The 23,330-nt window shown below is 34.2% G+C and overlaps 1 protein-coding gene across 25 annotated transcripts in view, besides 1 other annotated feature; it reads left to right on the top strand.

The window, feature by feature from the left end:
• The window catches only part of GRM8 (glutamate metabotropic receptor 8), an 814,344-nt gene that overhangs the window by 473,614 nt on the left and 317,400 nt on the right, over window positions 1-23,330 (top strand). For all 25 annotated transcript variants that reach the window (NR_163850.1, NR_163849.1, NR_028041.1 and 22 more), the window contains one exon: window positions 9,263-9,463. Coding sequence is in view for 22 of the 25 variants with exons in the window: in NM_001371087.1 (NP_001358016.1) it covers window positions 9,263-9,463 (201 nt within the window). In the remaining 3 variants the exon portion in view is untranslated. The remainder of the gene's footprint in view (window positions 1-9,262; window positions 9,464-23,330) is intronic.
• Window positions 815-1,363: an enhancer, noted in NCBI's record as "OCT4-NANOG hESC enhancer chr7:126418019-126418567 (GRCh37/hg19 assembly coordinates)". NCBI's record gives its function as "activates a minimal SCP1, AML or CMV promoter by ChIP-STARR-seq in naive H9 embryonic stem cells {active_cell/tissue: H9 hESC(naive)}" and the evidence as "EXISTENCE:reporter gene assay evidence [ECO:0000049][PMID:30033119]".

The raw sequence follows: 23,330 nt of genomic DNA, 5'->3' as shown, positions 1-23,330 counted from the left end.
ATAAAAATCTGATATGTTAAAAATAATGTTATATAAATTATTTGGGAAATGAATATACATGTAATAAATAACACTGGGAGAATTGGTTCACAATTTGGAAAATGAAAAACTTATGATCCTTATCTCAACCCAAATATCACATTGAATATAACAAAAGAATTAATTGCAAAAATATTAATCTGTTGAATGATTAAATATTAGATAAGAATCTTAATGAAAGATTAAGGACAAGATAAAAAACCATGCTTTTCTATAATATAGGGGAATTCTCATTATAGATGAAGTGAATAGAGCATATTAAAAAGAGTATATCACTTTAATGTTTAAAAATAAAGAGGCAAAGAAAGAAATGTAAGACGCCACACCAATATACAAATGGTCATTAAGCTGGGAGGCTAATAGATTTTTTTTTATTTTCTTCTTTCTACACTTTTATTTTCCATATTTCTAGTATTAATATGTATTACTTTTGTAATTTAAAAAATAGACTGTATTTTTAAAAGGTAAATCCTGAGCCAAGTCATAGGGTCTGAAATGACTGTAACATATTGGGGGTGGGGGTAGCATTAGAAGTCCTTTCTGCTGAAGTGGGAATTTCCAGGCCCAAATTTGAATTGTATGAGGAGGAGTGTCTTTAATATGCCTTAAAAAAGAGAAACATTAACTATGATATATCAAGTTTTATAAATTATTTTAAATCAAAATTTGTCTCTCATGTGTATGATCTAAGATAATTATGTAGAAAAATGCAAATAATTGAATTTAATCAAACAGGCTTTTCTTTGTTCAGGGACTTAGGGATATATCTATGAAATAATTTGCTTTTCTGAAAGTCTTTCTTTTAAACTGGTTGTTTTGCCTGAAGATACACTCTTAATCTTATTTGCCACTTACCTTAGGTTTTTCAGTGTTTTCGAAACTCTAGGGCATTGCATGGAAATTTTTAATACCTGAAGGGGACACCTGGCACCTGCCTGAAGCACTTTCTATTTCCTGCCAGGCACAAAGGAGAGATGTTATTGTGAACTGATCTAGAGCTCTTCAGTGGTTGATTTACAAGTGTCTCCTCATGTGTCCTCAGGCAGCTAAGAGCCTTCAGTTCTTGCTGCTACATTTAAATTACAGAAGAAGATAGCAGGTGATTTTCAGCAAAGGACCCTTGTCTTCTAATTTTCTCTGCCCTTTGTAAATAGATAAGGTAGTGGCTCAAATTACTTCATTAGTCCAATACATCTGTCTCTACAGGTCCTTGACAGAGCCAGCTGAAGAATCCACAAAGCAGAACCTTGGGTGTGAAATTCTCTTTTGAGTTTGATGTTATATTTTAAGAAAAATCATATAAAGGCATAGACTCAGACACACCACCTTCCAAGACTAAAATACTTTAGTCATTTTTATAAAGATAAATGTATAAGCTTTATTAGCGTTGGTCTTTATCACAAATGTCCAGTCCTTTTGCTTGGGAATTTCAGCCATTTTATGACAACTTTTCCATAAGTGGATGGCTGAAATTCATAAGAAGTTTTTTTTGTTTGTTTAACAGTTCAGAAAAATGCTTAAAATGTTATAGAAACTTTTTTCCTTTTTAAGTGTAGTTCAATATAAGTATTGGCATTTCTGTTAGTATTTGTTAATACTTATTGTCAGTATTTCTGTAAAAGTTTATATTTTATAATATTTTTTGACTCCTACTACACTATTGTCTTTAAAGATTAACACAAGTGCATGAACACATTACATGTAGAGAACCTGCATTTACAGTTAATTTAAGAGACAAGCTAATCATTGGTCTGGTGGGTGTAAGTAAAAGGGGAATTTGGAGAAGCAAAAGATAAACCTGAACTGGAAGAATCAAAGGAAATTTCACAGAGGAGAAGGAATAGCGGTAATGGCAGAGGTTTTGAGTCACGTAGACCTGATTTTAAATTGCCGTTTACTGCCATTACTTTGCAATGTTGGGTAAGTTATTTGACTTTTTGAATCTCAGTTCTTCTATTTGTACAAGAGGAGTAGTAATAATTTAGAATTAAAGGGATACTATTTGTGAAGTACTCTTACCATTTTAATTATTTGTATCCTCCCTCTTCCCTTTCACTTCTCTGACCTTATTTTCCATAATTGATTCATTTAGCCAGCATATCAGAAAAAGAAGAGACCTAAAATCTTCTCTTTTTTGAGGAACCAGATTTGTTCAATGGCTCTAAGTCTAAGAATAATGGAAATATGGTGACACAGTGAACCAAAACTCTGAATGCGGGAAAAAATTAATCCAGGTTGACATTTGGTATTTTTGTTAGTGCAGAATTTCCAGGTCTCAGCAGTAGCCCAGTTACAGGATACTTCATACTGTTGTGGAGAATTGGGTTTAGTGGTATTTGTTCTGTCACACTTACTTGAAGATTACTTAAATAATCTTCAAGGGATCTTAGAAAGTATAAGGAGGAAGCAGTTAGAAATAAGAGAACATGCCTTAGAATCCAGAATTTCAGAGCTGGAGGGGCCCTGACAGAGCATCTTGTTCAGTTCTCTAATTTTTACTGAGAAGTAACCAAAAGCCAGAGAGATCATGTTTTGCCCAAGGCCACAAAGTTAATTGGTTGTGGTGTTAGAACCAGAATGCAAGTCTGGCTTCTCAGGCCGTTGGTTTTACTGCAACATTGCATAAGGTGCTCTACTCCAACGTAGCTTCTTTGATTATGCCAGTGTTGCAAATAAATGATCAACCACGTTATTGGTATGTGATTACTCTAAACATTTGGGCCTTTTATTCTTTTAATAATTAAACATCTATATAAAGTCTATACTCTGTTAGAGGATATAATAAATAGCACAGAACATTAAAAATCAGTCCTTTTAATTGAGGTCTTGATGCCCTTGGGGAGATATCATTAACCAAATCTTCACCTGATTTTTCAAACTGTTCATGGTGCCAATTTTCTACTACCTAGCATCAGAACCCTGAGTTGTTCATTGCCTCCTGACATTTACTGCCATATTTAATCAGATAGTTAGATTCTGTCAATTTGGCCTCTAAAACATATTTTCTCTCATTCCTTTGTTTTCACTTCCCTGGGTTATCCTGTTTCCACTTTCTGCATAACCTGCCTCCCAACTTATCTCTACCTTCAACCTATGCTTGCTTCAATTGATTTTACACATTATTCTCAGCAATAATTTTAAATATTGATCATAGTTCTCCATTTCAAGTGAACAATATTCAGTATTTAAGCCTAGTATTTAAGATGCTCGATGATCTAATCTAGGCGAAGTTTGGGAAGAAAATCATTAAATATTAACAAATTTGAGGTGACATCTCCCCTGAGGCTTGGAAACATCTAGGCAAGGAATGAAGAGAGTGAACAGCTGAATAAAGGCCTGCATTTGGAGATCTTATGTAATATTCAAGGACCTAAGAGTGGAGCAGAGAGGTGTGTGGTGCAGCAGATGAAGCTGGAGGGATGAGGAACCCCATTACAGAGGTCCCTAAGAGTGGCAATGCCAGCTGAAGGCCCAGGATTAGTGACATGGTTCAGGAAGGTGTCCAAGGCCACTCGCCTTCTAAGCTGTCCAGCTGGGACCTGGATCCAGATCTACCTGACTGATCCTCTCTCTCCCCTAGCCAGCTGCTTCTATCAGTCAGTTTGCCTTTCTGTCTCATCTCAGGGTTCATATTTTCATCTGTCTTCAGTATGGGAGGTGCACACTTTCATGTGTGGATCCTAGTGCTCTGGAGATATTCCTGTATAATTGAACATGCTTGTATTTCTACCTTATGTTCCCCCTATTGTATCCTGGAACCCAAATCAGTTTAAATTTAGTAAAAAAAAAAAAAAAAAAAAAAAAAAAAACCTATTTGTCAGCTTGATAGCGCTCACTCTTTAGTGTGTGATGTGGTTCTTGGCATGGTTCTCATGGATTTAAAAGTCACTGCACTATGCAGTAACAATATATCTGTGTCACATTGGGAAAAGCACAATGTAAAGCATGACAGTCTTATTCCTGGTTATCAATAGGCAGAGAAGCTCCTGTGAAATTCAGAATGACTTCTAAATCTGGGCCTAGATGCATAAATGTATTTATTCATAGCAGGTTCACAAATTCCCTTCTTCCTCTACCATTCTCTCCAGAGCAACTCCAAGAAACTGACTTAATTATTTAAAATAGTTGCTTCATAATTCAGAAAAATTCAGGGAGAAACTTTAAAAAATACTTCTTAATCTACAAATTTAGATTGTGGGATTATTTATACTCCAAGCTGAGATGGTTGTAAGAAAAAGGCAACCAATTGGATGTTTGATTTCCCCAGAATTAAGCAACTGGTATGACTTCCATTTGTTTTTTACTTGAATTGACCAACTGCTTATTGGACCATCATTGCATTGATATTAGAAGTTTTATATGCCTAATTTCAGGACAATTAAATTAGTCCTCTGACATTTTAACTTAAAAAACTGAACTTTATCCTGAGAAATGGGAAATTCTTAGAAAGCAATGCTTTGCAACCACAATGCATCAAAGTCTGAAATTTCTCTTAGGCTCACCTTAGGAACTTACATTGTAACATATACAATGTTTTGCCAACTTAAGTCAATTTGCCTTTTTTACTGAAAAGGAACAAAACCCAAGAATATATACCACAAAGTGTGAAAGACCTTAACTAAAGTATGTGTGATATTTCTTAGACCAGTAAGAATTTATTATTTTCCAGGAACTTGAGATCCAGTCACAAGATTTAGATTTCATTAATGAAGATGTAAAACAATCTTCCCATAAAATTTAGGAGGCTGACTTCCTCTCTCACCATGAAAACACTTTGCTATATGTTGTTAATTTTAAGCTATACACTAAAACACATCACAACTTTACAATCGGTGATATTTAAAATGGTTAGCTGACATAAAGCCTTTGACGATATTTAGCACTTTATAGCAATACGTTAACACTAACTTTAGAAACTATAGCATAATGAAATTTTACAGCCAATTAGGTTGATGAGTCACTGTCAGCTTCCTAAACTCCTCTTTTAGATGAATGAGAGAATCAAATATAGGAAGTGAGGAGCAAATTCTAGCTGCTGTAAAATCTTAAGTGTCATCATGAGGTTGAAGTGTTAAGGAACAGAAAAATACATTGTCTAAACAGCCTGAAAAGAAATCAAATGATCCACTTTTAAGTTTAGAAATGGTAATAGTATTCAGTCTTTCAGTTTGTCACCATATGCTTATGTTGATTTATGGGGAGATTCTTACAGTGTTCATTGATTCACATGTGGCACCAGTTACTAGGCAGACTTCTGAACTCTTTAAAAGAACAAAAATGTACAAAGTTGAATATGTTTAATCAACAGTCAAAATAATTGGAGTTTATAACTAGAAAAGAAAATGAATAATTTGAATAGTACAATTTTAAATATGTTTCTTTAATAAGATTATGTGTATTTGATTGTTCATTTAGACCTATTGGATATAAAGTTGAATTTTTAGTTTTATTTTTTGGTAGGGACAGGGTCTCACTCTGCTGCCCAGGCTGGTCTTGAACTCCTGACATCAAGCAATCCTCCCACCTCAGCCTTTCGAAATGTTGGGATTACAGCTGTGAGCCACCACACCAGGCTGTTTATTTTTTAAGAAATGCTGAGGAAGAGTATATGTATTAAATTGGAGCATGTCGATTATAATTTATCAGGAAATTATTGAATGCTGAGGAGTATCTTTATAAATTGACAGGGAGTTTGCACTGGCATTAAAATACAATGATAATATATAAAATAAAATGATAATATATTAAATTGAGGTTGCACTGGCACTAAAATGATAATATATTAAATCAAGAACATTTTAGGATAGAGTAAGTTTGAAACTATAAAACATTCACACATGTCTAGCTGTTACATGAATTCCATGGGTTGTAAAAAATTTCCAAATTCCTTAATGCTCTTGTGGTCATTGCTTCATTTGAAGCCATTTGGCTTAGGCATTTTCTGCCAGTTCTGTGTCCACTCTCCACCCTTCACCACCCTGCAGTAATGGAAACATGGAAGTCCTCCCTTTTCTTTAAAGCCCACAAAATAAAAAATAATTAGATTAAAAACAAATAATATTTACAGAAGAGGTATGTGAGGGGTGTGTGTGTGTGTTTGTATGTGTCTGCAGCAGAGTTGTTTAGAGAGCAGCAATACAAACAACCTGGAACGTTAGATTTCCCTCTGCCATTATTGTACCTTGGGCTCAAGCCTTTCTCTGTGTTGCTGCATCCTCCTTTCCCTCCTCTCTGTATCTTTTTCTTCCTACTGCTTTCTATTTTCTGTTTCCACCCTCTCAGGAGGAACACATTCAATTCCTGCTTATTGGGCCATCATTGCATTGATGTTAGAAGTTTTATATGCCTAATTTCAGGACAATTAAATTAGCCCTCTGACATTTTAACTTAGAAAACTGAACTCTATCCTGAGAAATGGGAAATTCTTTCTTATTTGCAGATCTTTCGTGTCTTTCTGGCTTCTACCCTTGTCATCAGCTCCAGGCCTCCCTGTGTGTCTAAGGACATGGTGGAAGCTTTGAAATGCGTAAATATTGGGAATTGTGTTCTTTGACTCTTCATCTAGTGAGAAAAGGGGAAGAATTTGATTAGATTTTCTTCGGGGTGTGCATATCATGAAAGAATTATTTTTATTTTCATACTTCAATACCATAAAATTCTCTAAACAATAGATCTATAGTGGTATTTTTGAGGATTGCTGTATGGAAGAGCAGAAATTTCCTAAAGCTGGCCCACAGACTCAGCTGGTTGCACCAGAATCTCTTGGCGAGTTGTTGAAATGACAGATCCTTCATGTCCCAAGTAGGGAGATTCTGACCCAGCAAGTCTGGGGTGGTGCTGAGAAATCTGTACTTAAGGAGAGACCCAAGTGTGGAAACAACTGCCCTGAACCTCACTGTCTTTATTTTCCGTTATCAAGTTCAGCGATGCAAAATAAATGAAACACAGGGATATCCATCCAGACCTAGGGACTGATCCTCAAAGTTGTTATTCAGTCTTCTCTCTGAAATTTCCTCGTCACTTGCCTCTTTGTTCATAAGCAACCATCCTGGTTTTCCGGGGGCTCTTCAGGTTTTGGTCCTAGGTCCTGAGAAGCCCTTCAGTCCTGGACTAAACAAGAGGGGATAGTTACCAGACTAGAATCTATACGGAAATAACAGCGTCTATTTGGTTGCTGTAACCATCCTTCAGTATTTACTTATGAATGATCTACTTTGTGGTTAAAGCCATGGGAGAGAAATTTTAGGCAGAAGTGGAAAGGGTTGTTTTCACAGGAAACTTGATGAATGATTCTGGGAACAAGCAGTGTTGTTCTAAGACTCAGGAGACAAAAGTATAACCTAGGGATAGGGAGAGAACATAGTCCCCATGTCTTGTGGATCTTAGCTTAGATCATGCAGCTAAGGGGTAGGTTGAAGGAGACAATATAACTTTTGAGAAGTAATCTTCCCTGTCTCTTTGTGCTCGCAAACTTGCAAAACTTTCAGTAGGATATTTTAGGGAATCCCCTGCAGAGATAGCCTTGTTTTACATATATTGTTTGATATGGAAGCAGCAGACTACGTAGAGATATGGTAGGCCATTGGAAATATGGGACGATAGCAGTTAGATGGCAAGAAAGGTTTAGAAAACTAATTTTCCAAAAAGCTAACTTCCAAAATGAAGTAAACTGATTATTATAAATTGATCTAATGTTCTGGATTCTGTAGTCAACATTTTATAGTCCGATTTATATTTCTAGACTGTAGAAATTTTAGTAGTTGACAAAATTGACAATTAGCAGATTCTGAGGTTGGGGATGAAGAAACTCAGCCTTGGAGAATGAAAAGTTGAGACATGAGAAAATCGGAAAACCTATGCCAAACAGGGAGGAGCAGAATTCAGCATCATGACAGACCACAGAGACCAGAATACCAACCAAGAGCATCTAAAAGCACAGAGTGTCACAAGTGATTAAGACCAGAGGAAGAACAAAAACAATAATTCGATGAATAAAAATAAATAAACTGACCACTATTTTTGTTTAGAAAAAAACTAGTTTTTCAGAGTGTAAATATACAAATATAAACCACGTTAATTCGACTCTCTAAATATGTAGGTTATATGCATTGATGTTCAGAAAACAAATATTTGTTGAATTTAAATACAATTTATTCAAGGTTAGTAACATCCATGGAAAGTTTAAAATACTTGCTTTTGTCTAAGTGTTACCAGTTGTGTAAGGGTTGGTGAGGGATGTAGAAGTGACAGGAGATCATTTTTTGTTCCCTTAATAAACTCTTGATGTCCCTTTCATAATTTTTTCTTGTATGCCCAACATTCTTGCCATCTACCAAATTTTTCTGGGGATTGAGAGAATATTGGGCTTGCAGTCTGAGACCTACGAATGCTTCCCACACCTGCCCTATGTACCCCATGTACCCCATGTAATTATAATCTCCATGAGTCTTAGTTTCCTCGCTTTCAAAATGATAATGTTGGATCATAGTTGATCTCTCATTTATATTTCATTTAAAATATATTTCTTTTCCATATTAAATTATAAACACCAACCTAAAAGTAATCTCCAGTGCCAATGAGCAGCCCTAAATATGCCCAAACACAGGTACATTTATTCTGAATGACATTCATTTTGAGGTATCTACATCTTTTTAACAGAAATTCTAAATAGAAAATTGAGTTCAAAAAGAAAACAAATTGAATGATTATTATAAAGATAACCAGGGTCACTTAAGGGAGTATTGTCATATAAAAGTTACAAAAAGGCTCCCAAATGGAGCACATTCAAAATTAGAACTGATTTGGTAGGTGGTGAAAGACCTTACTTTGGGCCACTAATAAATGACACTCCTGGAGCTGAGACAGATGGCAAGAATCACACACTGCACATTTTACTTAAAAGATCAAGCCACTACCAAAATGTTATGTAATTACTAGAATGCACAATATAATAGGACTCAATAAGGTGGAAAAAAGATAATGAAACTATACATCTTTTATTTACTTTATATCTTTTTGTTGCTAATGAAATAGTTTTACTCTTTCCAAATAAACTTAATATCCAGTTTAAAAACCTGACTCAGTAAGTATAGAATTAATCAGAAGTGAAATCAAATAGTCGTGTCTCATTAAGTGTTCCTCAAATGATGGAAATCTTAGCTCTAATGCTGTCTTTTATTGGAATCTAACATCAACTGATGGTTTTTACTTTTTTATTTTGCAGGGCTGGAGCGAATTGCTCGGGATTCATCTTATGAACAGGAAGGAAAGGTCCAATTTGTAATTGATGCTGTATATTCCATGGCTTACGCCCTGCACAATATGCACAAAGATCTCTGCCCTGGATACATTGGCCTTTGTCCACGAATGAGTACCATTGATGGGAAAGAGCTACTTGGTTATATTCGGGCTGTAAATTTTAATGGTAAGTTACAACGTGTGTGTGTCTAAATACATTAAAAGCGACAGGGTGTGTTTTTCCTCCTATATATAGAAGATACCCAGGCAGAGTGGAAAACACAGGATTAGAAGCAGTTCTCTTCTTTGATTAGAAGTGTGAGTTTTTCCACCTGCTTTTGAATCTCAAACATATTTTTTATGCTACCATTAATCTATGCGTGAAGGAGGCAAAAGTTTAAAATAAGCCTCTGTCAATCAAAATGTTTTACTTAAATATCACTATTGAAGAGATCACTTAGAAGGCTTATTTGAAACCATTGACATTAGATTTCTTTGAAAATGTTTTGTTCATGTCATTATTAGAGAAGAGATTGTAGACATTTTGTTTTGAAACTGATTTTAAGCTTTTGAAACAGTAGGTTGACTTGAAGAAAATGGATGACTTGGAGTTGCTGTATATTTATACTCAACGAGTGTTAAGTTTCTGTGTTTTCTGTTTCCTTATATTTTTCTCAATGACTCAGTCCTTCGGAAGCAAAGGGATGCACACAATGTAGGCAGGATTTTTATACTGTAAAAGCAGAAATGTTGTTTCTGTGACTGCCACGAGAAACTGATACAGAATATACTGGATTCACAGTATTTGATTGAAAATAGCCCAACTGCCTGTCTGAAGTGATGGAATTATTGAATGCTGCTGTTCTTTCATGAGAGTTGCAATGGTTGTTGCCCATGACTTTGATCATTATTTTCAAATGAAATGATAGAATGCTCTGAGCTGTCTAATACTTTTGGTTTGGCTTTAATCCATACAATGGACATGCCTTGAGACACGCACAGCACTGCACCGTCTATCATAACACACTCCAGTGACCTCAGTTGCCAGCGTTTCTCAGAAAAGCACGAGGTCATCTTCAATTTAGAATTCAAGTGGAAACTTCTTCTTTATTTTTTTTTTTTTTGCATTTTTCCTTTAAAGGCAACCTAAGACAGAATTTGGTTTAAATTCAACACACATCGTCTGTGGCAGAATATTTGTGAAACATTACATAACATTAATCTTTTTGTTGGGAATATGAACACTAACAGGAGTTTGAAAATAATTTTTATGCAATTATGAAATTGATCAAAAGAGGAATGTTGCAATACAAGGTTGTTTACCATAACCTGAGGTTGGGGAACACTTCCTTTATCTAATATTGCTAGTTAAGAAGTGGGAAGAATAATGCAGATGAGTGAAGTTTCCATAGAACTGAAGCTCACCTCCAGAAGACAGGGAAGTCTTTTAAAGAAGCACTAAAGAAAGCATTTTAAAGGCAAATTACTAATTTGTCTTTCATCTTAACCATGATCAAAACCTAACCCTTCCTTGATGACTTCAATTATTATAATTATTATACCATCCTGTAATATAATGATACTATTAAAGACTGTTAAAGAATATCTTAATGTAATGGCTATTAAAAGGATTTGCCTCTAGACTCCAATAATCTTTGAGTTCTGTCCACTTTTTTTTTTTTTTTTTTTTTTTTACATTATCAAAGTGTTGCTGCTGCTGTTGCTGTGCTTGTTTTTAGGACAGGTGCTGACGATACTTTACTGGGGAACATAGACAAAACATTCATGGCACTTCGAGTTTCCTGGAGAACTTAGGTATTAATCAAATAAGCACACAAAAATATAATTATGTAATCTGCAATGAGTGCTGAAAAGGGAGATATTCTGGATTTAGAGTTTATAATAGTGGACATTTCCCTAATATAGGGATTTAGGAACAGATGAAATCTGAAGGGAGTAGGTGTCTGAGATAAGGGTAGGGCAATAGGCCAGGCCATGAATACCATGTGAGGTCTTATAGGCCATTATTAAGGTTTGTTCTTCATCTCGAAAGCAACAAGAACCTATTGGAGCATAATAGAACTGTGCTGTGTCTGATATAAGGCAACATATAGCTCAGATGAGGGTTATGGAAAATAAATAAATCTTAGTATATGAACTTAAAAGACAATCTCTTTGAGCTCTTTGGAGATTGATTTTGCTGGGCTTGAGTCTTGGTTGTGTTCCAGTAGCTGATAATACAGGATAAGAGACCTGAAGATAAGCAAATGATCATAGAATACATAATTCTGTTGATTTTCAGTGATTTCCAGGATATTCATCACATTTTAATTTTATTATTGACTTATGTATTCATGTTCATTCTGTTTATGATAAAAATGACACACAAAGCTGTTCAAATAAAAGTACACCATCAAAACTACTAAAGGAGGAAGAAACAAATATGGTAAGCAGAATAAAGGATGAAATCATTAACTTTTGAGCTTCTTAAGCAGTCAAAGCATAAAGGGACCGACAATGTGATTTATAATTTTCATTATATGATAGAAGCAAGCTTACCTATTTTTCAAGAGAGAACACATTTTCTTGGAAATTATTTCCAAAAGAAAGGTGTCATATGCGACTTTGACAGCCAAATGAGCAATGTTATTTTACAAAATTTTACAGCAAAAGCAGAAGTCTTCTCTGGCTGTTTTGCATTTGTACCCACAATCAAAGTTAAGAAATGATGTAACTCTTATAACACTGAAAGTATAGTATATTTCATTAAAGATGTTTCCAAGGAGGAGGAAGATAATCATCCTTGATTTAGATGTATAACTCTTTTGAGCCCTGATGATACGGGGATGTACCATACTCTGAAGAATAAATGAAGAACATCTCCCTTATACTCTAGTTTTAAGACTCTATCTTCAAAAATATCCTACTCAGAAATCTAACATTTCAATCTGTTAAAAAACAAGAACTGTTAAGGGATTGGCATAGCCCTGGCTGGTCCACTTCCTTAGTCCTGCTTACTGGTCTCGGAAGTACCTTGAAGAGTCCCAGTGGCTCTATGAAGCACACATACAATCTGCAGACTTACACACATATCATTGCTCTTCGCAGGGATTTAATAGCAGCTGGAAGTAGACTTTTGGAGCTTGTGTTAGCTGTTAGGAACCTAGAAAACAGCTATGTTATGTTGTTAATTGGAAACCAGTTGAGTTGATTATGTTGGTGATAGCCAGTGTTCTCACCTGGTGGGACAGCTGACCCACCTCCCTAACACCAAAAGTGCAAGGAGGCCATTGGCCAAAACAAGGTTTGCTCAGGACCAATTTTTAATTTTCTGAAGAACCCAGATGTGCTTGACTAGAACCAGAGCTGCTTACTATACACGACAACAAAAAACATTATATATTAGAAGGTTTTTAGCCTAGCTATTGCCAGTTGTCAAAGAATGAGCTTTATAAGGCAACTGCCAAGTTTGTACAGTGTGGCCTTCTAGATTGTCTGCCAGGATCAGTGAGCTACAAAAGGTACTCTCAAGGAATTAAAAAAATTGACCCATTAGATGGAATTACTTAGTAATGCCCATTTAAAATTGAATAGTGGCTATCCCAATGTTTAATTTTTGTATAGATAAAATTGTTGTTAAATTAGTTCTTTTTGACATAATTAGATATCAGGATACATTTCTTTGTATGCTCCTTTTTAGTTTGGGATAGTAAAACCACGTTATCGGTGTGGAGGAAGATTCTGCTTCCAGTTTATAGGAGCAGAAGGTGAAGTAGCCAGAGCACTGGAAGCTCATCAGACAGTTGGTACAAAAATAAAGAGAACTGTTTGTTTCTTAAAATTTAATCTTTCTCACATTGTAACCAGGTATGTGGTATGCTTACTTAAGCAATGGTTTAAAGATATGTAAAAGATTGTGCTTCTTCCAGTGTATCATTTAATTGACAAAGCAAAGAATATGTTAGAATTTAGAGTGATAAATGACTAGTATTTCAGGCCAGAATTATTTCATTAAAAAATAACTAACTAAAGCTGGAATATTCAGTCAAACTGCTGAACTGTAGAGTACTAATTGGCATCAAAGACATAAGCTACAATGGTGGTTTAATTGAATGTAATCACTGAAACTGATTTTTTAAAATCACTGAAAAAAAGGTACCTGAACCATCTTCTGCATCTGTATTTTAAGCACATTCTGAATCACAGTGTATCCAGAATTACTCATGTTTTCCTTACAAGTTTTCTTAACATCTTCTGTCTACTTGGGAAGCCAGAAGGAAACAAAGACTTTCCTTTTAGGGTTACTTTTATTGCTGCTATCTGAACAAAATGTTATTTCTATAATTTTTAAACCCTAAGATTTATCAACAAATATAGAGAAAAGGAGGTTAGATATTTTAGGAACTTGTCAATTCCTTACTCCAGACTGATCTATAGGCAATAAAATATTAATTCTGTACATCTTGTATAGAATCAAAGATTTTTCTGTTGCTATGAGAACCTTATTTATCATAAAGAAAGTGTTGGATAGAATTTCAGAGCTACCTCCCTACTCCCTTGCCCTATAGCTGAGCTCATATCAGGGCAGGTCAAGCACAGTGGCATATTAATCTGAATTGTTTGATTGTATGTAACCAACCAACTTGAGAAACCAACTAAAACTTGCTTAATTAAGCTGAAATTAAGAATTTGTGAATGTGCATCAGGAAACCGCATAGCGGGAATAGAAACGAGTCTAAAGAAAGAACTGGTCCTAAGAAATAAAAACCTATAAGAAAAAAAAAGCATCTCTGTCTTTCTGTCTGTCTGCTTTATCTGTTTCTCTTTATATTGGTTTTCTCTTCTTCTAGGTTCACAGGATAGCAGAGGATCTCCATTTCCAGGGTTTAGCTATTCTTTAAGACACTTGTTAAAACTAACTTTTTTTTTTAAGTCTCAATGTCAGCTTCTTGGAAGCTTGAATCTCATTAGCCAAACTTAGGTTGTATGTCAGATCTGTTCCAGATTATCAGTGTACAGGAGGAAGTAGTACAAACTTGGTTGTCACAGACCACTCCCTATAGAAAAAGGTGACATTTAGAAAGTTTCTGTAAGTGCCTTATGGGGAAAGCTTAAGCAGGGAGTTGGAAACCTGAGAGAGGGGTGATGTCTAGGTATCTGAATCTCATTGCTTCTTTAGGTGGATGAGTTTGTGTTAGCCTGAGGGAGACAGGAATCAGGAAGGATCTGTGATAATTGGAGAGAAGAGTCAACTTCAGAATTTTGTAATGCAAACCCTTGTATTGGGGTTGAATTATCTGACACCAAGAGGAAGAAAGCAGCTTCCCTAAACTCAGCAGTGAGTTGTGATCTAAATATTTCAGTGCTCAATATTCCAAGAATAATATGGAAACGTTTGTTAGATTGTAGAGACCAGTACATAGATAGAAGTTATCAGCATCTTCTTTCCTTTAGAAACCTTATTGATTTCAAAGAGTTAATGCAAAATTTCCAAATATACAATTTGAGAGTCTCTGAACACTATAGTCTGATTTTGAAGGAAATTTGTTAGCATAAAATACCTTTAAGCTATCTGAAAGGAATAATTATAGTTTAACATTAGAAAATATACTACAATCATGCTAATAGGTCAAATAAGACAATAATAAACATTTCATAAGATTGTGTAAAGTCATATGATAAAAATATTAGCCTAATTTATGTTACAAATACAAAACAAAAAAACTAGAAATCGAACAAATATTTAACATGATAAAGCACATCTTTCTCAGTCTATAACATTTTATATTTATAGTTACTCTTATCAAGAGATGGATCAAACCTATTGCCACTATTATTAATATTCTATCAGTTTTAACCAGTGTGATAAACATGAAACAAAAATGACAAAGATTATTACTATAAGGGAAAAATTACTTCATGATGATTTTCAAATTATTTGATCTCGACAATAATTATATTAGAAAGATAAAATGTAACATTAATATTAGAACATTAAGACTTTTCTACATAGTATTAAGAAGTCATTGTTAATACATGGGAACTGGAACGCTTTTTTTCTTTGGCAAAAATTATTTAAAATATTTTGGAATAAATTGAACCTGTTTGAAGACAACTTTACTGAGAGACATACAACATATTTGAAAAAACGGAGAGACATTTCTTGTTTATGGACAGAAGAGCTAAGTATGGGAAAAACATTAATTCTTTCTGAATAAATCTGTATTCAGGCATGTTATAATTCCAGTAGAATAACTAGGGAGTATTTTCTGGAATTTTAATAGTATTTTAAATTTTAATTATGAGAGTAAATGAGCAAAAATAACTAGAGTGATTTTAAGGAAAAATATTCCTACCAAACATTTAACACTTAAGCATAATGTTAAACTACAATAATCAATCCAGTATGAAACTAATACCAGAATAGACATGTGATAAACTACAATAATCAATCCAGTATGAAACTAGTACCAAAATAGACATGTGATAAATGAAACCAAATAGAAATAGTCAGAAACATAGAATGATGATAAATAAGTAAATAATTCTACAATTGTGTGTGTGTGTGTGTGTGTGTGTATATATATATATATATATATATATATATATGAATTTATCATATGATAATGGTGGCTTTTAGAACTCACTGGGAAATAACATTTTATTGATTAAGAGTTTACAGTAGATTCAACTGAGATGATTTTTCCACATAAGAAAGTATTATCCATTTGAAATTTATTTTAGAATTATGTGAAAAAGAAGCAAAAGAATAAAAGAAAATGTAGGCGAAGGTTTATTTGATTTGAATGGGAAAGTTTAAAATCAGTAAAAGAAATTATTTTAAAAAATGCCATGTTTGATTCTTTAAAAATGTAACACTTGGATATTACAAATTATCATGAACATAATTCAAAAACGGAAATTATAAGGATTCATTGGGGGGGTGTTGTGTCAAAACATGAATATCCTAAACATTAAAAGAGCCACATGAATTGATATAAACTATGCAATCTCTAAGAGGTCAATTGACAAAACTTGTAAATGTTAATAAACATTTGAAAAAAATGTTAAGTCTCACTTATAATCAAAGAAAGTCCAATTCATCAATGAGAGACTGTTTTCCCCTTATCAAATTTATGAAGACTTAAACATTTATAGTTACTAAAATGTATTATATTGATCAGCATTGTTTTTTTGGAGATCATTTGCTTGGTACATATCAAATTCTTATTTTCTTATTTCTAGAAAGGTATTCTAAGAAAATTATTAACAGTAATTATATTTACAGTAATTCATTGAAAAAAACAAATCACAATTTCACTTTGTTTTTAACTAAAACCCACCAACAATATATTGTATAGTATAAAATCACTCTAGTTATTTTTGCTCATTTACTCTCATAATTAAAATTTAAAATACTATTAAAATTCCAGAAAATACTGCCTAGTTATTTCTACTGGGATTATAACATGCCTGAATACAGATTTATTCAGAAAGAATTAACGTTTTTCCCATACTTAGCTCTTCTGTCCATAAACAAGAAATGTCTTTGTTTTTTCAAATATGCTGTATGACTCTCAGTAAAGTTGGCATAACACTATATAATGGTGTTGACTGTGTATTTGGGATCCTAGGTTTTTTTCCCCTAGTTCTGCCATTTTTCTGTGTTGCGAGCCCATCCAAGCCTCTCAACTTCATCTTTTAAATGGAAAGATTATACTAAAATGATCTAATATTTGAGTTCTCTTCCAGGTCTGAATTCTCTACATAATCTTTTAAAGTCAAAGGCGTTCTTTACAAGAAAAAAAAAATAGATGCCTATCAGTGTTCTTATTGTCTTTCTTTAGTTTATGTTCATGTTTATCTTTCATAAATCATTTATTTATTTTACATATATTTTATTGATTCTCTTCTAAGGTACCTAATTTTTACAAGAGTGCTGTGTCTTTTAAAATTGAGAATACACAGATTAAGACAATGTGGTTCTGTGAGTTGTCAAATTTCATAGCTTAACAGTGGAGGTACAGAAACCTGTTACTAACAATAATTCAATTTGATAAGTGATATGATAGAGGCATGAGCATTTACAAACACAGTATAAGGTTGAGATTAAGAAACTACATAAGGGAAGCTTAAAGATTACAACACAGAGAGCAAGTGACATCTAATTTAAGTTACAAATAGAAAGTGACATTTCTTCTGGTGGTCGAGATGTGGAAAAGGTATTCATGACAGAGAAGGCAGTTTAATAATAGCTTGAAGACAGGGAAGAGCATTCACATTCTAAGAAAGTTGAGCATCCACTGTGGAAGAATGTAACACAGTGGTTGTGGGGGCAGTCAGGTGATGAGACAGTAAGATGAGCTTGGTCCTGGTTAGAAACCTGTGCCGAGTTTGGCTTTGAATTTGACACAGCAGGGAAAAAGGAATGGAGCTTTTTGAGCAGGACAGTGAAGTGCTAGGGTAAGTGTTTTAGAAAAGAAACTATGGCAGCAATTTGAAAACTGAAGCAACTGAGATTAAAGGCAGCGATGGTATGTTTAAGAGATAGTTCCAGTAGTCACAATGAGAAAATAGTATCTAAAATAGGAAAGTAAAGGTACATGTGAAATGGAAAGAAGTCAAAGATAGAGGAAGGAAATACAGAATTATTTGAATGATGACTCTGTTCTAGGTACTGTGCTTTGACTAGAAACCAAAGAAGTATCTTAACTTCCCCAATGATCTCTCTTTATAACTGTTTGTGACAACCTCATTACTGGAGATAATTCAGTATTTTAGTATATATACTATTGATATATCAACTTGACACTACTTTCTATTTCATCTACTTTTTTTTTTTTTAATTTTTTAAGAGATAGAGTCTCGCTTTGTCACCCAGGCTGGAGTGCAGTGGTGCGATCTCCGCTCACTGCAACCTCCGCCTCCTGAGTTCAAGCAATTCTCTTTCCTCAGCGTCCCCAGTGGCTGGGACTACAGGTGCATGCCGCCAAGCCGGCTAATTTTTTTTGTATTTTAGTAGAGACGGGGTTTCACCACGTTGCCTAGGCTGGTCTCAAACTCCTGAGCTCAGGCAATCTGCCCACCTTGGCCTACCAAAGTGCTAGGATTGCAGGCGTGAATCATCGAGCCCGCCCTCATCTACTTTTATAAGTAGAAAATGAGACAGAAATTCATTATATGGAAAAATTGACATAAAACATCATCTCTTGAAGTTATGGTGCATAATTTCCTTATGATTAAATTTACTTGTCTAGTAAATGAAATAAAGTCAAATATGATTGATTATCTGTTGATCTAAAAATAATATCCTTTAATAATTGTCTCATTAGAAATACAATTGAGGAAATTAATAATTTGGAAATATGTAATTCTTGAAGTCTCTGCTTATTGCTATATAATCAATATTACTGTATATACATTCACTTTTTAAAAATTTATAAATATTTTTAGAAATGAATAGGTCAATTCACAAGTAATTTTTTTGTTTCTGATGAAGGAAACATCAAGCTAGCTGTAAAGTATTAATCTTACCCATTAAATCACCATGAAATTTAGCACTGTAATTCTACCTGCCTCTGTTTTCTAACCGAGTGAGGTGTTAAACTGTGGGGTTTTCAAAGTCTGATTTCTTTTATAGTTTTGAAGGACAAGGTTTATCAATCTCTTATTTCTCCTTTAAAATATAAGGACTTACATGTGGGCCAAGACTGAGCCAGCATTGAAGAAAAGCTTGAAGCAAATCAGTTTTTACTCTAGCTCTTCCTAGAGTCCTACTCAACTTCATCCATTGTGTTGGGCTTCTTTTACTCATTCTTTATTTTTGTAATTCCTGGTCTTCTTCATCACATTTGAAAAAAAGCAGGATGAATGATAAATCCTGGAGAGAGGTGGAGTACCATGGGCTTAATAATTGAGGGCTGACCTTGGGTCTAAACTGGGATGCAGTAATGAGCCTTGAATGAAAAATGAGGAAACAGATGTAGGAACAGAGAAGATTTGAGGTGGTGGGAAAAATTTCTGAAGGAGTTTATGTCTAATAGTTTGTATTTTTTCTAGCGATCAGAAACACAAATTTTATACTCAGTTTGAATCTAGCTTTACAACATTCAACACCTTGTAATAGTGGCCAAGCAACAAAACCTCTATACATTTTTGTTTCCTCATTTATAAAAAAAGCTGATAAGGATATATATACTAATCTATTTTGGTTTCCTATGAAGTTTAAATGTAAGGTGATGATACATAGACAATACTTAAAAATATATAAACTGTACAATATATGGAGAATATTTAGACTGCTTGGGTCATCTTACAAAAATGATGAGATGAGTGGGTTGGGACTGAGAACTTGAGAATCTTTAGAAAGATGCAGACTTAGAAAGTACTACATATAAGGATTAGTTTGGGAGGTGAAAACAAGGCAGGAGTTGGAAAGGATGCTTCTGCCACAGCACCAACCAACAGGGTATTTTCAGCAGTGCCAGGTCCTTGGATATAGGAACAGAAATGTGAATGTTTTTATGACATTCTTAAGGTAAATAGGAAAGTACTTTACTGCTGAGATGGGCATCTAATGAATCTAGAATGGACCAGGTGGGGTTCATTCTTTCATTATTTCTTCTTGTTTCTTCAAAATTATATATTACTTTTTTTATTGATGGAACGTATTTAATGGAATTGCGCCCATGTTATTAGGGATAATTATTTTCTTAGCAGTAGCAGTATTTTGCTTCAGAAAGAATCTACTCAAAAATTATAATGGAGACTTGATTATTTTTTCTCTTTAAATCTGTTAACTTTTATAATTACATTAAGGTTTAAACACAAAATTAGTTTGAAAGTGAGGGACAGGGGCTGGGCGCTGTGGCTTATGCTTGTAATCCCAGAATTTGGGAGGCCGAGGTGGGTGGATCACTTGAAGTCAGGAGTTTGAGACCAGCCTGGCCAACATGGTGAAACCCCATCTCTACTAAAAATACAAAAATTAGCCCGGCGTGGTGATGCGCACCTGTAATCCCAGCTGCTAGGGAGGCTGAGGCAGGAGAATCTCTTGAACCCAGGAGGTGGAGGTTGCAGTGAGCCAGGATCCCGCCACTGCACTTCAGCCTGGGTGACAGAGGGAGACTCTGTCTCAAAAAGAAAAAGAAAAAAGGAAAAGAAAGAAAAAGTGAGGGACATTAATGAAAAAATTCCTTTAAATTATTGTGCCTAATTACTATGCTTAAGGGATTTTGATTTTCCCAGTCTTTTGGATGTGTTTAAAATGATTATAAAATAACTTTTGACTCATATAAACACCTTGTCTCTAGCTAAGCTAAGTGAACAATTACTCAATTTTAATTTAAAAAATCTGTAAGTATGTATTTATGGTATTTAATGTGCATATGTCAAAAACATTCATTTAACATTCATTAAATGTCTATTGTGTGCCCAAACTGTGCCATTTGTATTTTTTCTCTGTTCTCTCACTTCTTTTACTTCATCTTCCTTTATATCTTAAAATTCTTTTTCTCTCCTCTTGTCCTCTTTCTCCCCAGTATTTCTCTGTTTGCCCTTGTGATCACTCAGTAACCGAGAGAGTAGTAAGAGGCTAGGATCGTGAACTTTTCAGAGACAGACATGAGCTCATATCCTAGCTCTTCTACTAATGTTGTAAGATCTTGGATAAGTTATTTATATTTTATAAGCCTTTATGGCCTCATCTTTGGATGGAAAAAATAATAATACCTAGCTCATAGCTTTATTGTGAGCATTTAATGAGATAATTCGTGCTTAAGAACTTAACACGATGCCTGGCACAGTGTAAATATGCAATAAATGGTAACTATTATTTTTTTCTGCTCCTGACAATAAACCCTCAGTATATATTTACTGAATTTCAAGCATACACACATAAAAACTCACCAAATACATGCCCATCCACACAAATTCCTTTACATGCCTTAGATTTCAAAGCATCTGATAAATCTCCTGTAATCAGTAATATTGTGCTATCTGAATTTAATTTCTTATTTCTTCAAGGTGTTATTCATCTATTCCCAAAAGGTTTAGACTTTTTAGTTTGCCCTTTCTTTTTTCTCTTGCAGTCACCTCCTGAACCCTTGATTTCTTATTAGAACCTTAGGGTAAGATATGGGAGTAAAATGACCTAAAACCTATATGAATATATCTGGCCTCAAGTAAAAGGATAGGATAGATAAGAAGGTGGAGGTTGTTGGTTGAAAAGGTGTTCAGGGAATGTGTACTAGAATATAATACACCTCCTAGCTTAAGAGTCTCTTCAGAAACTTAGTCGTTGCCTGGGAAAGAGACCCTCTTTCCTTTGCAGAGTTAAACTGTTGCCCTTTGATCACACGCAACTCAATCAGAGAAAAGTCCTTGTAGCACTGCCCAGCTGACTCAGTTGTCCATGCTCACAGAACAGAGATAAGTGGATTCTGCATGACAGAACTACTTAAAAGTCATATGCCCTATTTATTTAAAAAAGTAATTCAAATAGAAATGAACATTTTGGCAAGTACAATTTATACTCAATCCTGCTTAAGAAAGCTCTAATTTTCCCCAGGTCTTGTTCGGCTTTTCGTTGTTGTTAACTTTAGAGAAAGTATAAAATACATACAGAAGAGTGCAGTAAATCTATAGCTTAGTGAATTTTCATAAATTGAAAGCACCCCACACAGAATCCAGAACACCAAAACAAACCCCCAAATCCTCAGCTGGCACCTCAAAATCCTCCTGGGTTCTCTATTCCTCATTACACCCTCGCCAAGAAGTCGCTCTCCTAACTTTTGATAGCACAGACTAGGGGTTCTTGCTTTTAAACTTTATATAAATAAAATTGTATAATCTGTACTTTTAAATGTCCGGCTTCATTTCACAGCAATTTTTAATAAAGATAAAATATATTTCTACCATTATCTGTCTCTATTAATGTTAGATTCAATTATTTAAATTTACTTTGTTAGACATTCAATATTTAATTTTTAAAGCTGAAGAAATTATTTTATGAAATAACATTTAATATCTATTAATGAGGTTTAAATTTATAAAGGTTTACATTTTAGTACAATACCCATAATTTTTTTGAAACTGGTAAAGAAAATATTACCTTCATGAACCTTCTCGTCTTGGTTTTGTTATCGTCATTCTTTTAAATAATAAACTTCATTTTGTAGAGCAGTTTTAATCTCACAGCAAAATTGAGTGGAATGTATAGGAGTATCCATAGTTCTATGTTGAGGTTCATTCTCTGACCTAAAAGTCCTCTATCCTCCACCTATCTATATTTTCTTCCCACCTCATCTCTGGGAACCATTGATCTTTTAACTATCTCCACAGTTTTGCCTTTTCCAGATGTCTTATAGTTGGAATTATACAGTACATAGCTTTTTCAGATTTGCCTCTTTCAGTTACTGATATACGTTTGGGTTTCCTCCATGTCTTTTTATGGCCTGATAGTTCATTTCATCTTACTATTATTGAGTTTTAAGGGCTCTTTGTATATTTTGATATAGTTGTCCTTTATCAGTTGTGTCTTTTGCAAATATTTTCTCCCAGTCTGTGGCTTGTCTTCTCCTTCTCTTGAATGTATCTTTTCTAGAGCAGAAGTTTTTCATTTTAATGAAGCCCAGCTTATCAATTCTTTCTCTTATAAATAGTGCCTTTGGTACTGTAGCTAAAAAGCATCCCCATACCCAGTGTGATTTAGACTTTCTTCTATGTTATTATCGTCTAATAGTTTTAATAGTTTTCCCTTTTACATTTAGGTCTATATGATTCATTTTGAGTTTGTTTGTTTAAAGAGAATAAGGTCTGTGCCTAGATTTATTTATATTTTTTTTGCATGGGGTTGTCCAGTTGTTCCAGCACTATTTGTTGAACCCATCCTTTTTTTTCACTTAGAGATTTGAGGATGAAACTTTTGCCCATACTCAATTGTTCAAATGTCATGAAAAGTGAAGTCAAGTGTTCTTTGTAGTCAGAATTGTGTGTGTATGTATCATTGTTGTTGTTATTTTTGTGATTGTTGGGACTGAAGGAACATAAATATT

Source organism: Homo sapiens, chromosome 7, assembly GCF_000001405.40.
Source record: "Homo sapiens chromosome 7, GRCh38.p14 Primary Assembly".
NCBI lineage: Eukaryota > Metazoa > Chordata > Mammalia > Primates > Hominidae > Homo > Homo sapiens.
This window is presented reverse-complemented; position numbering and strand designations above follow the sequence as displayed.